The following is a 16,175-nucleotide window of genomic DNA, read 5'->3' on the forward strand; positions in this document are numbered from 1 at the left end:
AAGGAAGATGTCATCCCATGAGAAACCTAGAGAACAAATGTTCAGTATATGCTGATTTTCTGACCCAGTGATGTTGCCTTTCCTCTGACTGGAAAATGTGGTAACATCAATATGGTTTGACACAGGGGCGGAAGAACATCAAAGCATTTTAGAAGCGGAAAGTCCTTTCCATCCCCTGCCTTCTCATTCCTGTGTGAAGAACAAGAGACACACCCACTAGAGCGTGTTCTGTACAACCCTCATACATACATACACACGTATGCCCAAGGCATGAAGAGCAGCTTAATTCAGACTGAAGACAGCTAATTTCAGGACAGATTTGAGCAAATACTCTGAAAGATCAGTTGAGGCAAGGCAAGGCGCTTTCTTCAGTGATTCTAATTTTCATTTTTCCCTCTACAGAGCAAAAGGATGTGTTTCAACAAGGATAGATGTGTCTCTTCATTGGTTATGAAACTTTGCAAAACAGAGTTGGCAATCAGATATCCTAACACTTTTCTAAGGCCTAAAAATATATATCAATCTATCTTTTTATGAATACTGTGTTCGTGATAGACTTCTGTCTTTCTTTTCTGGTTATAAACAGAAGTCTGTTGTAGAAAATGTGGGAAATACCTGAATGTACAAAGAAAATATAGAAAAAGTATCATCCATGGAATGAGAAACTCTGCTGCATTTATCTGTTCCACTGTTATCCAGTTCTTTCTTAGCCTCCCCTGGCCAACCCTAGCCTAGAGAATTTAACACATTGGCCCCTCCTATTCTTGCTAGAAAACTGGCCTCAACGTATTGTATTCTCTTAAAAACCTTCACCCTCCATTTCTCAAACTTCAGTCAGTCTCCTCTTGTCATACCTGAGAACCACCCACACCCACACAAGGAATCTGCAAACTATGGCCCAAAGGCCAGATCTAGGCCACTGCTTATTTTTGTACTTCCCATGAGCTAAGAGGAATTTTGACACTTTTAAGTAGTTGAAAAATCAAAGAAATAATACTCAGTCACAAGTGAAAATTGTGTGAAATTCAAATTCCAGTGTCTATAAAGTATACAATTTTGCTGAAACACATCCTAGCTCTTTCATTCACATATTATCTATGGTCACTTCTGCACTACAATGGCAGAGTTGAGTATTTGCAATGGAGAAAGCAAGGTCTAAAATATATACTCTCTGGCCTTTACAAAAAAAGTTGACCTACCCCTGACCTTAACAGAATATCTTTCTTTAAATGGATACTCCTATTTTACATAAAATTATTCTAAAGAAAACTTTATAGCACTTATAAATAGAAAGTTATAATTACCATAATCACCTTAACTACAAGACAAACTTGGAAATTACTGTAACAACCACAATAAGTACAACTTCACATTCATTAGCATGATTATTATTATTTAAGAAAAAAAAACAGAAAATAACAAGGTTTGGCAAGTATATAGAGTGGAGCCCTTGTGCACTGCTAGTAGGAATGGAAGACAGTGCAGCTTCTGTGGAAAACAGTATGGCAGCATTTCAAAAAATTAATAATACAATTATCATGTAATCCAACAATTCCACTTCTGGGTATACACCCAAAAGAACTTAAAGCAAGGGCCCAAACAGCTATTTCAGCATTATGCACAAGAGCCAAAAGGTGAAAGCAACTCAAATGTCCATCAACAGATGACTGGATAAACAAAATGTGGTATATTCATATAATGAAATATTATTTTGCCTTTAAAATGAAGAAAATTCTGACACATGCTAAAACACGGATGAACCTTGAGGGCACTATGCTAAGTATAACAAACCAGTCACCCAAGGACAAATACTTCATGCTTACACTTCCATGAAATACCTAAAGTAGTCAAATTCATAGAGACAGAAGTAAATGATGGTTGCCCGGGGCAGGGGAGAGGGAAATGGGGGTTACTGTTCAATGGGTACAGAGTTTCAGTTTTCCAAGATGAAAAGAATTCTGGAGATGGATGGTGGTGATGGTTACACAACAGTGTGAATGGACTTAATGCCACTGAACTATACACTTAAAAGTGGCTAAAATGGTAAATTTTGTTATGTATATTTTACAACAATTTAAAAAAATTTTTCATTGCAAGAAAAATAAAATAATGTTAACTGAAAACAAGCTAGATATTCTTTTACACCTAAGACTTGGTTTTTCTATGTTTAAAAAAGAGACCAGCAATCCTTAAGGAAGCCTTGAAGATTAGCAGGAACGTATAGTCTACATCAGGTAAAAATGCAAATAAAGTAAAAAGGGACTTATATTTGTGATTCAATTTCAGAAATAACACTTCTTTAATGTCATATAAGGTGACATTACTTCAAAATATGTGAATTCCCAAAAATGTCCCACAATTTAGAGAAGATTACCCAAATGTTCCACAGTGATGTGTCACAATCCAGAAACTACAATCCTTACACTCTTGCTAAAAGGTTATTTCTTGATTCATACAGGGTATTCTCCAGTGAAGGTACCAGTTTTGCTGGGTTACAGCTCCCTGTTTCACAATAACATCTGCTTTTTAAAAATCATTTCATCACCCTGTATCTTAGTATTAAATATATTTAAGCAAAGGATAATTTATCAGATTGGCTCTCCTGGGGTTAATTTTGAGAAGTTCTAAAAAATCATAGATACAAAGAGGGAACTGGAGAGGGAAGGAAGAAGTAAAAAAGAAAGAAAGATCACAGAAAACTTGCTCTTTTTTTTTCAGGAAAGTATACATGTTTTATGGAGCCAGATAAAGGAAAAATAAATCACAGAAAATCTGTGAGATGTGTCACATTTGCTAAAGCACTAGTTACCAGTTGTTGACTAGTTACTATTCAAGAACATCACTGCTCTAAAGCACAAAATTCTAAAAGAATTAGAAAAATTCTTACAGGATAAAAATTAGAAATTCAGTTTTAAGGTATGGTTTACTACATAAAATTGTTTTTTCAAAAGATCACAGGATTTATGAGACCTTAAATTATAACTTAATATGAAATATCCACCAAATCAAATGATTTCTAATAAATCAATGTCCCTTACGTTGTCCACAATAAGTTCCAATATATCCTTTCTGGCACTGGCAGTGGTCATCTGCACAGGTCCCACCATTCATGCATCTCACACTGCACTGCTGAACTGCAAAGAGCAATAACAAAAAGTATAAAAACATCAGTCATCAAAATTATAGTATATGTGAGAGGTTATAAAACTATAAACTCAATTATCCAATTCAATGACAATTATATCTTACAGAAGGAAATACTATGACCCAAACATATTTTTATTCATCATTTCTTTATAAGTGCACACATGGGCATATCTGTGATAACATGTTTTTCAGGATGCATTGAAAACACTTCCAATGTTAAAAAAAAATAAACAGAAGGTGACTAGCAGCATAGTTTCTGGAAAGCAGGAGGCACTTTTGTCTCCATTCAGAATGCAGGAGGTGAGTGCCCACCATTCCAGCTCAGTGCAGTACTGTCATAATGGACTTGAAAGCTATCCTCACAGAGCTTGAATTCCGATGGGGAGCTACGGAAAACACAGGTAAACAAATACCACTAAGTAATTATAGACTGTGATAAACTGTTTGAAGTAAACTGTTGTGAAGGAGACTAGTCTGGAGCCAAGAAGGAGCTTAGATACTGGCACTAGACAAGACCACTCTGAGGTGACATTTACACTGAATAAGCCAGATATTAAAAGTACCACGGAGAAACTTCAGAGAGAGAAGAACCAGCAAATCAAAAGACCTTAGGATGGTAAAAGGTTTCTTCTGAAGAATGGAGAGATTCCTGTGGTTAAAAAGAGGCAGACAGGGAAGAGACCTTGGAAACCCAGGCAGAGACCAGCCAGCTAACACAGGGCCTCCTCGGCCACCGAAGGGTTTTCATTATATCCCAAATGCAACAGGGAGTCATTGAAAGGATTTAAATGAGAAAGTGAAGTGATGTAATCTATATTTTAAAAAGATTACTCTAGCTGCTCTGCAGAGAACGGATTTGAAGAGGGCGAGAGTCTGGGAGAAGGATGAGGATAGCTTACACCACATGGTAGCAGTGGAGATGGAAAGGAAAAGATAAATCTGAGATAATTATTTTCCAGTAAAGCCTACAGGACTTGTTTAAAGAGCCGACATAGAGAAAGAGAAGCAGCAGTTACTTAAGCACTGGGTGGATGGCAGAGCCATTTGCCAAGGCAGGAGGAACTGTGTGGTTCAAGTAGCCTGTGGTCAGCAATAAATTCAGTTTCCTTTTAGACATGCTACTAAGTTTCAATTGCTTGCTATTTCTTGAGTGGAGATGTCAAATGGGAAAGGGAATATATGAGTGTGGAGGTCAGTGGTGGGATCTCCAGTGTAGATAAATATTATGAGTTATCAACAGATTGGTAGTCATTGAAAACATGAGTTCACCCAGGGAGGGCAGAACTCAGGAATACCAAACCTTGAATGAAAGACTGATGAAGACATAGAAAAGAGACTAAAAAGGAATGATCAAGAAAAGGAGCACTGAAGGCCACTGGCATTTTAAAAGTCAAGGGTGTTTCAAAGAAAATGAAAAACAACATTTCAAGAAGATAATGATTAATAGTGCCAAAAGCTTTAGCAAGGTCAAACAGGATGATGATTGGGAGGGTTAGAAAAGTTCCTGATGAAATGGAAGGATTGCCCAAGGCCAAATGAATGCACAGATTCCCTGCTAAATTATATACCACAAGCAAAGAGTGGACCAGAGAATGTCCCAGCTCCCAGGTAGAGGAATTAAGAAACTGAATCTTAAAATTCCTCCAGCATTGTGTTTTTTGCCAAAGGCAAATATGAGAAAACTAGGAACAGGATAATGAACATACTGGCAACAGTATCTTGTAGGTAATCAGGCAAGAAAGAGAGGTTCAGGTTAAGTTGGGGATGAAATGTTCTGGTTAAAGTGGTCAAGAAATCTTGATGAATTTGAATGGTAGGTTTTAAAAGCTGAGGAAATGGCAGATTCAAAGGAAGTGAAATTAAGAGAGTTTTCATCAGGAGTTTCATCAGAAGACAATGGCATTTGATGTATGAATCCTGAATCTTATTCCTGAGTCAGACATACTATATTACCTTCTTTTAGGGAAAATTTGAAGAAAGATGTATTAAAAATATAATGACTTCACACTAGTTTGAGGCAAGACTTAAGAAAGCATTTATTTAATTATTGAGCAATTAAATAAACAATCTTGCTTCTGCCTTGTTATAATGTTATCTTAAATACTAGCCTCAAAGATTAATCTTCGACCTTAAGGACCCAACAATTTCTAATTGGGTCATGAATCACACAATCATAGTCCACAGTTATAATTATCTTATGAAGTTGTTGGCAGTTAATACATGTGAAGCAAAATAGGTCCATTATGTGTAAAGTATGTGGTCAGTACTCAATAAACACATGCTGCCTTTGGAGTTCTCCTCTCCTTCCCCCTTAGATAACCCACAAAACACATGTTAAGCAAAGGCAACAAATACAGTCTAGTGTTTGAGACTATACACTTAGGCATCAGAATACCTGGATTCAAGTCTGTGTTTCCTTGGGCCAGTTAATTAAATTATGTGTGCTTTACTTTGCTATTCTGTAAAATGGGGTATTAACAGTATCTCATAATGTTGATGTAAGGATTAACTAAAGTAATAACAGTTAAAACTCCCTGGCACATAGAAGGACCTTTAGCATTTGCTCCAAAGCTTAAGAAAAATGCAGTGAAAAGGCCACAAGTAAGAAACATACTTGATTTTGATCCACAGGTTGATGATATTTGCCCACTGGAACAAGTACACATGTTAGGACGGGAACAAAATCCATCTCCACAACTATTTCTACAAATCGCTGTAGAAAGCACAATAGGAAAATGAATGAATAACTATATAATAAACCATAGTTTACAAAACAAGAAAGCTGTATTTAAAAATAAAAAGCCTGAAAAACTAAGATAAAATATATGATATAAATGTCTAACTTCAGATATGCAATAAAATTACCCATTGCAGACTTGGGAATAAGTCTCACAGGTATCCTTATGAAAACGTGTAAACAAATGAAGCTGTTTCAAATTGCATAATCCTTTAAGGAATCTCCACACTGTTTTCCATAGTGGCTGTAAAAGTAGAACTACCATTTGATCCAGCAATACCACTACTGGGTATCTACCCAGAGGAAAGGAAGTCATTATTCGAAAAAGATACTTGTACATGCATGTTAATAGCAGCACAATTCACAACTGAAAAATCGTGGAACCAACCCAAATGCCCTTCAATCAACAAGTGGATAAAGAAACTGTTATATATATATGGTGATATATATATATAACTGTGATACATATAATATATATATCACCATATATATAATGGAATACTATGCGGCCATAAAAATGAATGAATTAACAGCATTTGTAGTGACCTGGATGTGACTGGAGACTTATTATTCTAAGTGATGTAATTCAGGAATGGAAAAGCAAACACTGTATGTTCTCACTGATATGTGGGAGCTAAGCTATGAGGACACAAAGGCATAAGAATGATATAATGGACTTTGGGGACTTGGAGGAAAGAGTGGGAGGAGGTGAGGGATAAAGGACTACAAATATGGTGCAGTGGACACTGCTCAGGTGATGGATGCACCAAAATCTCACAAATCACCACTAAAGGACATATTCGTGCAACTAAATACTACCTGTACCCCAATAACTTATGGAAAAATAGAAACAAAAATAAAGTCATATGTAAGTAAACGTTACAGAATGAAAACATGGTAGAATAAAATAAAGCACAGGCTTTTTAAGTTTAAAATACATATATATGTGTGCGTGTGTGTGTATATATATGTATGTATATATAAGTGTATATATATGTATGTGTGTATATATATATATATATATACACACACATATTTACTGGCTTTAAAAGGTCTAAAAGAACTTTCACCAAACAGTACAATGGATCTCACTGCATGATGGGCTTATGTATGGATTATTACTTTTTTAATAAACAGTTAAAGCTTTGCAATAAGGAAAAAAAAATTGCATAATCCTAAATCTTTAATTGTCTTATCAATACAGGTTGTCTCTTTCATTAAAGACTGAGAGTTTAAAATGCAGAATTCACCCAGAGAAGACAGCCTTGATTCTAAGTAGTTGGGAGGGTTGCAGGAATAGAGAAAATACAGCCCACTATGCAAAAGCCTTCACAGGAGACAGACAACATGAAATTGGCTGAACCAGAGGCTCCAGTTCTAATGACTTGGCCAAGCCTCAAGGGTTCCACACACATTCCTTCCAGGCTGGTATCTGACCTACCCTGTGATCAATCTTTGGTCCCCTCAATAATTCCCTCTCCTTCCTACAGCCTTTCTCCTTCCATATTATCTCCACAACCTAGCGTATTCCTACTGCTCAGAAAAGCTACTGTGGCATTTTGATGGTGGGGAGAGTCAAAGCCTCCTGCAGCTGTGACCTCCAATGAACAGAAAGGTATGAGGGTCATCACAGCAAAGAATGTTAGGCTCACTGACACAATACATTCCACAGATACTCCACACTTGTAGCCAAGTACCTTCGAATGGGAAGTCTCTCCCATGTTTAGAGACAGTTCATTTAGGAGCTGAGAGATTTCTCTCTATAACCATAATTGAGTTCTCTCTTTCGGCACAAGGGCTGTGTACTTTAATGCTCATGCCATGACTGGATATATAAAGACAAGAAGAAAGTCTGGAAATGCTCTGAAACTGGCTGTAGTTAGGGAAAGGTCCCACAACTTTCAAAGAGATTTGGGACCCTCAACAATGAAAAAAGCATTTCCTGCAGAAGTAAACTAACTCACTAATTGTTTTTCTTCTCCAAGATGCCTTCTGATATCCATATATTACTACTAGCATTAGTACTTCTTATAAATGAAAACAGTGGGCTGGGTATGGTGGCTCATGTCTGTAATCCCAGCACCTTGGGAGCCTTAGGCAAATGGATCACTTGAGCCTAGAAGTTGGAGATCAGCCTGGGCAGACCCCAACGCTACGAAAATTTTTTTAAAAATTAGCCTTGCACATTGGCATGTGCCCATAGTCCCAGCTACTCAGGAGGCTGAGGTCAGAATGCAGCTTGAGCCCGAGAGGTCAAGGCTGCAGTGAGCTGTGATCATGCCACTGCATTCCAGTCTGGATGACAGCCAGATCCTGTCTCAAATTAATAAAAAAAGAAAAAGTGAATAGTGTCAAATACTGTGATGTTAAGATAAAAATATTTTAGGCAAGAATATGTTTCCTGCCATGGAGTTGACTCTTACTTCTTAAAATGTACTACAGTTTCTGATCACCAGTAACTCTCCAATGACAAATGTGCATTAAAACATTGTTTTATTTCAAAGTTTCCTCCTCCCCAGAAGGCCAATATTTAGTCTAGGCTTAAGAGAGGAGACCCAAAGTACCTCCACCCGGGTTCCAAACCAAATGAAGGTTTGATGGGCTGGAGACTGAGCATTCTCAGGCATTTACCTGTCGTGGATACAGGTATATACTCTGTATCTGTGAGCCAATGAGAAGCAAGAATGCTGAGGCCCTTTTGCCCCACAACAGCCTCAGACTATGGTACACTTACTGAATACGTCCCTCCCACAATTACTAAAACTATGAGACCTAGAAATACCAGAGGGAGAGGGAGACAGGACCTAGGGGCTGAGACTTCAGTGATGCTGTGAGAAGTCACATGGCCAGGTAAAGAATACATAGTACCCAAAAGGTCTGAAGTTTAGTTGTCACTCTGCCATTGATCTGCTATGAGCTCCAGAAAAACCCACAGCCTTTCTGGGTTCAGTGTTTTCATTTGGTAGCATAACATAAAGGAATTATACCGGAATGCTCTGATGTTTCCTCAGGTCTCAAATGTTATTTAGTCCAGCCAACCTCATCCCACTCTTATTATATTGATCAAAATACTGTTCATAGCATAATTTCACAATAAATAAATTAATAAGCAAATTGTTTCATTGCTTCATGTTCTAAGAAGATTAAAAAAAAAAAGGTGAGAAAGTCAATTCCGTACTTTTGGAAATGAATATTTGGAAGTTTGGAAGTACTTCAGTAATTTTTCTAGGCTACAACTAAGCACAATACCAACAAAACATAGAGACTCAAATCAAAATGCATTAGGTTTCCAGAACTTGGAGAATTACAGTTTCTTTTTAATATCTTCTCCTTATAAAGCCTGTCAAACACTAAAATTCTGTTGACCATTTTTTATTTTTCTATATTAAAAGAATGCTGAGGTACAAATGTATGAGAAAATTAATATTTGGTTTTTATTTATTTGTATTTTATTTATTTTCTTTTTTGTAAATGGTCTCAGATACTTTCTTTTGCTAAATGGTGTGATACAGATAAATCCAATAAATATAATAATTTACTTAATTCATTATCATCAGGAAGGCCTGGAATTAAAATTCTTGATTTTGAGTTTATAACGGTTTCATTTCACTTATTACCTCTACATATGATCATTTTAAATGTCAGACTAATTGAACTACTGAATTGAATGCAGGCTATTAGCATTAAATGAGACTCATGCAATAGAATATAAAGGTATTACACTGTCCCTATTTTGTGCACTGTTTAATAATCTTAGGTACTTAGAATTTTTAGATGTGTTTCTAATAAATATTTTTGTAGATACGTCTTGACACAAGTGTTATAAATGTTTCTTACAGATATAAAGATCATTTCAAAGTTTACTCTCATAGATTTCTGATACGTGTAAATTCCAATGTAGCTCATAACCATCCAAATATTTCAAGTCTCAGAAATGCAGATTACAATAGTCACTGTTACCCTGAGATTTTCAAAGCTGATTTTCTACCAGTGATCAGTGGGGCCATACATATATTTCTACTGCAAATATTCTGGAAGGCTCTGCTCTCTGGAATTCCCATTCCACACTGATCCAATAAAATCTGACTTTACAGATTTTCAACACGTACCATGAACCAATCCCTCCTCCTCGGCTGCTCTCCAACTCAATAATGGCAGTCACATTCATTACATTTAGTGAGTCAGACTTTCCGCCGTGCCTAAGTCACTCCCAGCTAGTATGGCAGGTGTGTGATGAGTGACGTTAGCTGTTTCAGGAGTCTAAAAAACCGTGTAAGTTTAAAGCAGCCATGGTAATGCCCTACTGGCCTGAAAGAGTAAACCCACCCTCCATTAATGCCTCACATATGACTTCTGTGTTGGAGAGAAAAGAATGCAGAACATGTTCTTTTAAAAAATAAAGCAAAGGCTTATTATAATCAGAGGATTTGTTCAAAATATTTATAAGTCACTTTAAATAACACAGTTGTTTCCTATTTTTGCCATTGGAAATAGTGGGATGTTAAGGTAGAAAAAATAAGAAGAAATTAGTCTTTATGACACTGGAGATTTCATCTCTTTTTTAAAAACTGCCCAGAAATAACATTAAGCATCTATCTCAAAACCACAAAACCAATAAATACAGAGTTAGAAATGCCACTACATCCTTATTATCCCTTGGTTAGTGTGCCTTGCCCTTTTTCTCTGTTCACAGTTGCATAATTATTTTCTCCCTGGAGAACATGGAGGTCAATCTAAAGTCAAGACTGGCTCTAAATGAATGTGCTGTCTATGATACCTGGCTCTCCTTCCAACAAGACAAATGTGGTTGTGCTACATAAACACACAGGAGAAGGCCAGTCACACTGCAAGTCACAAATTTACAGGCATATGAAATAAGACATCCCAGAGTCCGTGACTGTGAGGCTGATAACTAATGAGCTCTCCAATTAGAACTTGGAGAACTGGTTATACACTTTGGAAACAGAATAAAATAATCAAAACTTTTAAGGTCAGAGATACAGAATTTTTCAAGGTCTAAGATTCATACTTTGGAAATCTACTGCACACTATTGAGGTTCAGGGTCTGGAAACCCTAAATTTAAACGTCTTCCAAAAAGCAAAAAAAAAAAAAAACTCAAGCCCCTTTGTAAGAGTTCTGTCTTTTAAAAGTTTGTTAACTTAGGTCAACACTAAATCCGCGAGAATGCTCCTTTCGTATCTAGGTTATGTGGTTGTTGATATAAAACCAGAAATAAGAAAGTGGTTTTATATAAATGCCTAAGAAATCTTGATCTTCATAAGGCCCAAACCTCAAGCAGAGTTAAAAGCCTGATAATTTGCATAATAACATGTGGTCTCATCTGGATTTTTTACAGAAAAAGTGGTTTTGAGTTATCTAGATAATTGCTCTACTCCTCCCCTCTTCCAATTTGTATTAATAGACATAGAAAGATAAAACTTTCAATTATCTTTGAAATCTTTATCATTATTGCCCTTCAACAGAGTCTAGAAGTGAAGTCTGAACTGACTCAAACCGGTTGAGTCTTCCCCACTATTCAAATGGGGCCGCGTCCCGATTATCAGTGCAATGTGATCACTTGATTTTAAACGCAACTATGCGTCCAAATGGCTGAGTGCAAGAGGTCGGCCGGAGATAGGGCCGAGTGCGCTGCCCCAAGCTGCGATCCCTGCCAAGCACTCACGGACAATGCACTGGTTTCCTCCAGGGAGCGTCTTCCATCCAGGGCAGCAGTAGGAGTGGAATCTGGAGCCGCACACGTTGGGCCTGTGATGGACAAGCGCGGTCACGTAACAGATAGGTAGAGGGATGCAGCAACATATAAACGGTCTTCGTAAGCAATGCCCCGAGCGAGTAGATTTCAGGACAACAAACAAATCAAAATTACACTTCAAATTATTGGAGATCGGGAGGCAGACGTGGAAGCAAAAGAGCTAGATGCTGGAATGCAGGAGGGTCAGAAATGTCTAAACACTGCCTTTCATCTGTCGTCCCTTGCCTGCCTTTTTAAAGGGCGAAAAGAGGCATGGAAACATATAATTTGCTACTATTCTAGCTTCCAGATGCAGAGAACAAAGGGACCATTCCGTTCCAAAGAATCCTTGCCCTCCTTCCCAAATCCATTCCTCCTTGGTCAACTGTTACTTTGGCCCCGACGTGTCAAGGAAAGCGCGTCGCAAGGTGGAGCGCTCGGGTTGACGATGAGAAGGTGAGCTGTGAACCCTGCACACGTCCTCAAACAAAAGGCTCACGAGCGGCGGCCCCGACGTGGGGAGCAAGCAGGCTTCTCTGGCCCCTGCAGCAGGCGGACCCAGGCCCGCCTGCCGCCGGACATTCAGAACCTGTTCCCGCAGCGCGAGCTCTGCACACGCTCTGCGATCGGCACCCCTGGACCCCCTAACCACCCGCCGCCCAACCCCCGGAGAGAGGGCTTTCCGCCCGCTGAGCTGCGGGGTTGGGAAGGAAAAGGGGGACGCGCTCCTGGGGGTCTTTGGATATTCTGGCAAAGGGGGCTGCAGCTCTAGGCTCCAGCTAAAGGGTCTGGGACGGAGTGGGCCAGAAAGCCGCCAAACTGAGGATTCCCCCCTCCCCCAAGCCGGAGCCCTAGGTGCGGAGCCGCTTGCCCACTTACCCTCGGAGCACGTCCTGCTGTCCTCGCCGGCGGACGCGGCTGGCCACTGCGGCACCCTCCTCGCGATACTCGGGCGCTAGAAACCCGCCTTCAGAGCCTGCTGTAGCGGACCGAACCTGTTGCGGCGGCGGCTGGGGCCGGGGCGGCTTGGGCGGAGGAGGCTGAGGCTGGCCGGCCGTGCCCTGCGCCCAGAGCACCACACAGCCCAGCCACAGGAAGTAGAGCTGGAGACACAGCCTCCGTCTTCTCCCCATCGCCGGCGCCGAAAGCGCGCGGCCGTAGACCCGCGGAGAGGGAGTGATCAAAGACAAAATCTGCGCGCCTCAGAAAAGAGTCAGGGTCTAATAAGCCCTTCGTCGGCTCCGGGGACTCCCTCGGGCTCGGGCTCCCTGCTCTAGCTGGAGACCTCGACAGAGCGCCGGCCCCCTGACTGCCCGCGAAGCGAGACGCGGGGCGCCGGGTCTAGCGCAGTGAGCGGCGAGGCGCGGCGGAGGTGCAGCCGGCAGCCCCGAGCGGTACACGTTGCATAACCGGCCTAAAGCCCCGAGCGACTCCAGGACCGTCAGCGGGCGGGGGAGGAAATTACAAAAGCCCTGGCGTAAAATTTCAAAAAATGTGAACCTCAAAAGAAAAAAGGGCCTGCACGCAGAGCTCGGCGGATTCCCGTGCGCTCCGAAGACGGATATTGGAAAGCTGCAAAAGTCACCAGAAAGAAACAGGCAAGCAAACAAAAGTCGCCCCCAGAAGAAGAGGAGGGTTCCCTCCGGGCTCGCTCGGAGTCCCACAGGGCAACGAAGCGCGGGTAGCGGCTGCGGAGCCGGGCGGAGGTGCGCGGGGCCGGGGCGTGCGGCCAGCAAGAGAGAGGGCGGGAGGCTGGGCGCTGGAGAAGATGCGGCGGTGGAGGGCGCGGCGCGGGGGTTTTAGAGGCCCGGCGGGGCGCGGGGCGGGCCGGCGGGCGGCGGCTGTCAGTGGGGGCGCGGCCGTCCACACGTGGGGCTCAACCCGGACTGAGAGGCCGGCGCAGAGTGGGCGGGGACAGAGTAAGGGAGAGATCGGGACTGAGGAACGAGGGGAACCAGGGTTGGGTGAGGGGAAGAGGAAGGAAGGGGGGGAGGGCGAAGGGAGGGAAGAGGACGGAGATTGGGGAGAAGGGGGGCGAACCCGAGAGGAAGGCCGGGCTGGAAGAGGGACTTGGAAAGAGGGATTGGCGAGCCCGGGTGCGAGAGGAAATGAGCGGGGGATGGGGGCGAAGTTAGGGCAAAGAGAGAAGTGGGAAAGGAGAGGGAGGGCCAAGGTCCGGGCGCCGAGAGGAGGGGCCCGGGGGGCCGGCTGGAGGGGGCGAGGCGCTAGGCGGCTTTGCTTCCCGTCCCCGTCAATTGGCCGCTAGCTCTGTTTTGACTGCCTGTACAAAGCGAGTAGACGGCGGGGGATGGGGCGATTAGGGACCGGATTTGGGAAAGGAGGCAGCAGCCCCTTCCCCTCCCCCTCCGTCCTCGCCCGGCCGCGGACCAGGGACTAGGGTGCCTAAGCGCGCCAGGCTTGGCCGGACCCGCAGCTGAACTGACCCGCAGCTGAACTTCCCCGCCGGACAGAGGCCGCAAGGTTGAGGATGAGAACGGGTCTTTCTGTAGGGTCCCGGCCCCTGACCTGGGATGGGGGGATTCGCAGTCAGCCAGGAATAGAGGCTCACGGGGCTGTTGGTTGCAGCCTCAATCCAAGAAGGAGGAGACCTCCCCTTTGCCCTCCTACCCCCACCGCCCCACCGGGAGCGGCGTCAGTCTGCGGGACCAAATTAGGGGCTGGGAGTTTCCAGATTGAAATGCGCCCTCCACCACCAAGAGGGAGCTCACGCGGCCGCGGGGGGCCGAGGCAGCCAGCCGGCGCCGCGGTCCTGGGGAGTCCGTGCAGGGGTGTGCTCTGGTGTGAAACCTGGCAGGACTCTGCCTGGGCTTGCATGCAGGGAGGGGTTAGAGACTCTGAAATGTACTAGCGGGCAGGGTGGTGACAAGGCGGGTAAATGAGGCTCGGGGCATGCCCTTGCTTCCTGGCTTGGACCCCTTCTGATTGATTAAATCCTAGCAATTGGTGCAACCCTCTGTACCTCTTAGAGTGCCTCTCACCGGCCTGCTCTGGGTTCTTCCTTTGTGGCCCTCCTTTCATGAAATCTCTGTGAAGTCCTGGTCATTTCTCATTTAGTGGAATATCACAATTTAAAAATCAAACACTCCTGAAAACAAGGAGAGACCATCCAAGCACAGTTTGCGAAACAGTACAAAAGAGCAGTGTCTGGTTTATTCAAGCCTAGAAAACCTTAGTTTAAAGGGGAAAATGTTGAATATGTATAGGAGGGTGTGTGTGTGTGTGTGTGTGTATATATATACACGTACATATATACATATATACACATAACATATATATGATATATATCATATATCATATATATCATATATCATATATATGATATCATATATATGATAGATCATATATGATATATCATATATATGATAGATCATATATATCATATATATGATATATGATATATGATATATATGATAGATCATATATGATCTATCATATATATCATATATCATATATATCATATATATCATATATATCATATATATCATATATATCATATATCATATATATCATATATATCGTATATATCATATATCGTATATATCATATATATCATATATCATATATATCGTATATATCATATATCATATATATCATATATCATATATATATCATATATCATATATATGTATTTCTGGCCCAAATTGCCCAGATGTGCTATTTGACAGCCAAAATTCTCCAGTAATTGGCACAACTCCCTCCTTTATTTCTCCATGTAGTCAAAGGGTCTGAAGGTAGTACCCCTTGTTACAGTATTCTCATAAAGCAGAAGAAAAGATAAGAGTTACATAATTTCATGTGAGACACCGATTTGTTAAAATCCAGAGAAAGAGCAATACAGTTATTTTCACGTACTTCGCTTCAAATAATAAAATTATTTAAACTAAAAGAGCTAACTAATGTAACTATCTCCTGGTTTAAAGCAGTGTTTTAGTCATACCATTTAAAACATCCTGTATCTGCTTTTTTTGTTGTTGTTGCTGTTGTTTAATACTTACGTGGCTTCATGGTTCATTCCTGTCCATCACATTAAATCTAAATGCTCTAGAATTGCCTATGCCTTTACCCTTTGATCCAGCAATTCCACTTTTAGGAACCTATATAAAAGATACATAGACAAAAAAAAATGAAATGGTGCATACATTTGACTGTTCTTTGCAGCACTGTTTATAATAGTGAAAGACTAGAAACACAAACTTCCCATGAACAAGCAACTGTTGTGTATGACTTCATCTATTCAGTGAAGTATTATGCAGCTGTCAAATATGAATGAAGAGAAACTCTGTATGCTCTTAGAGAGTGATCTCTAGCATATACAGTCTACTAAAATAAAAAAAAAGCAAGGTACAGATAGACTAGGCAGTTCATTGAGACAAAGTAGAATAAAGGTTACCAGGAGCTCCAGGAAAATGGGAAGGATGAGTTATTGTTTAGTGAGTACAAAGTGGTCTGCCTAGGATGATGAAAAAGTTAGAAATGGATAATGGTGACGGTGGTCCAACATTGTGCATGTACTTAAT

General features: G+C 41.3%; 1 protein-coding gene across 2 annotated transcripts in view, besides 2 other annotated features; it reads right to left on the minus strand.

Moving 5' to 3' along the window:
• Nucleotides 1–13,412, minus strand: part of FBN2 (fibrillin 2) — a 280,337-nt gene extending 266,925 nt beyond the window's left edge. For both annotated transcript variants that reach the window (XM_017009228.3, NM_001999.4), the window contains exons 1-4: nt 12,517–13,412; nt 11,569–11,651; nt 5,762–5,860; nt 3,039–3,134 (exon numbers count right to left, since the gene is read on the minus strand). In XM_017009228.3, coding sequence (XP_016864717.1) covers nt 3,039–3,134; nt 5,762–5,860; nt 11,569–11,651; nt 12,517–12,770 — 532 coding nt within the window. In that variant the 5' untranslated portion in view covers nt 12,771–13,412. The remainder of the gene's footprint in view (nt 1–3,038; nt 3,135–5,761; nt 5,861–11,568; nt 11,652–12,516) is intronic.
• Nucleotides 11,082–12,012: an enhancer, noted in NCBI's record as "NANOG-H3K4me1 hESC enhancer chr5:127871608-127872538 (GRCh37/hg19 assembly coordinates)". NCBI's record gives its function as "activates a minimal SCP1, AML or CMV promoter by ChIP-STARR-seq in naive H9 embryonic stem cells {active_cell/tissue: H9 hESC(naive)}" and the evidence as "EXISTENCE:reporter gene assay evidence [ECO:0000049][PMID:30033119]".
• Nucleotides 13,738–14,238: an enhancer, noted in NCBI's record as "H3K4me1 hESC enhancer chr5:127874264-127874764 (GRCh37/hg19 assembly coordinates)". NCBI's record gives its function as "activates a minimal SCP1, AML or CMV promoter by ChIP-STARR-seq in naive H9 embryonic stem cells {active_cell/tissue: H9 hESC(naive)}" and the evidence as "EXISTENCE:reporter gene assay evidence [ECO:0000049][PMID:30033119]".

Source organism: Homo sapiens, chromosome 5 (genome assembly GCF_000001405.40).
Source record: "Homo sapiens chromosome 5, GRCh38.p14 Primary Assembly".
NCBI lineage: Eukaryota > Metazoa > Chordata > Mammalia > Primates > Hominidae > Homo > Homo sapiens.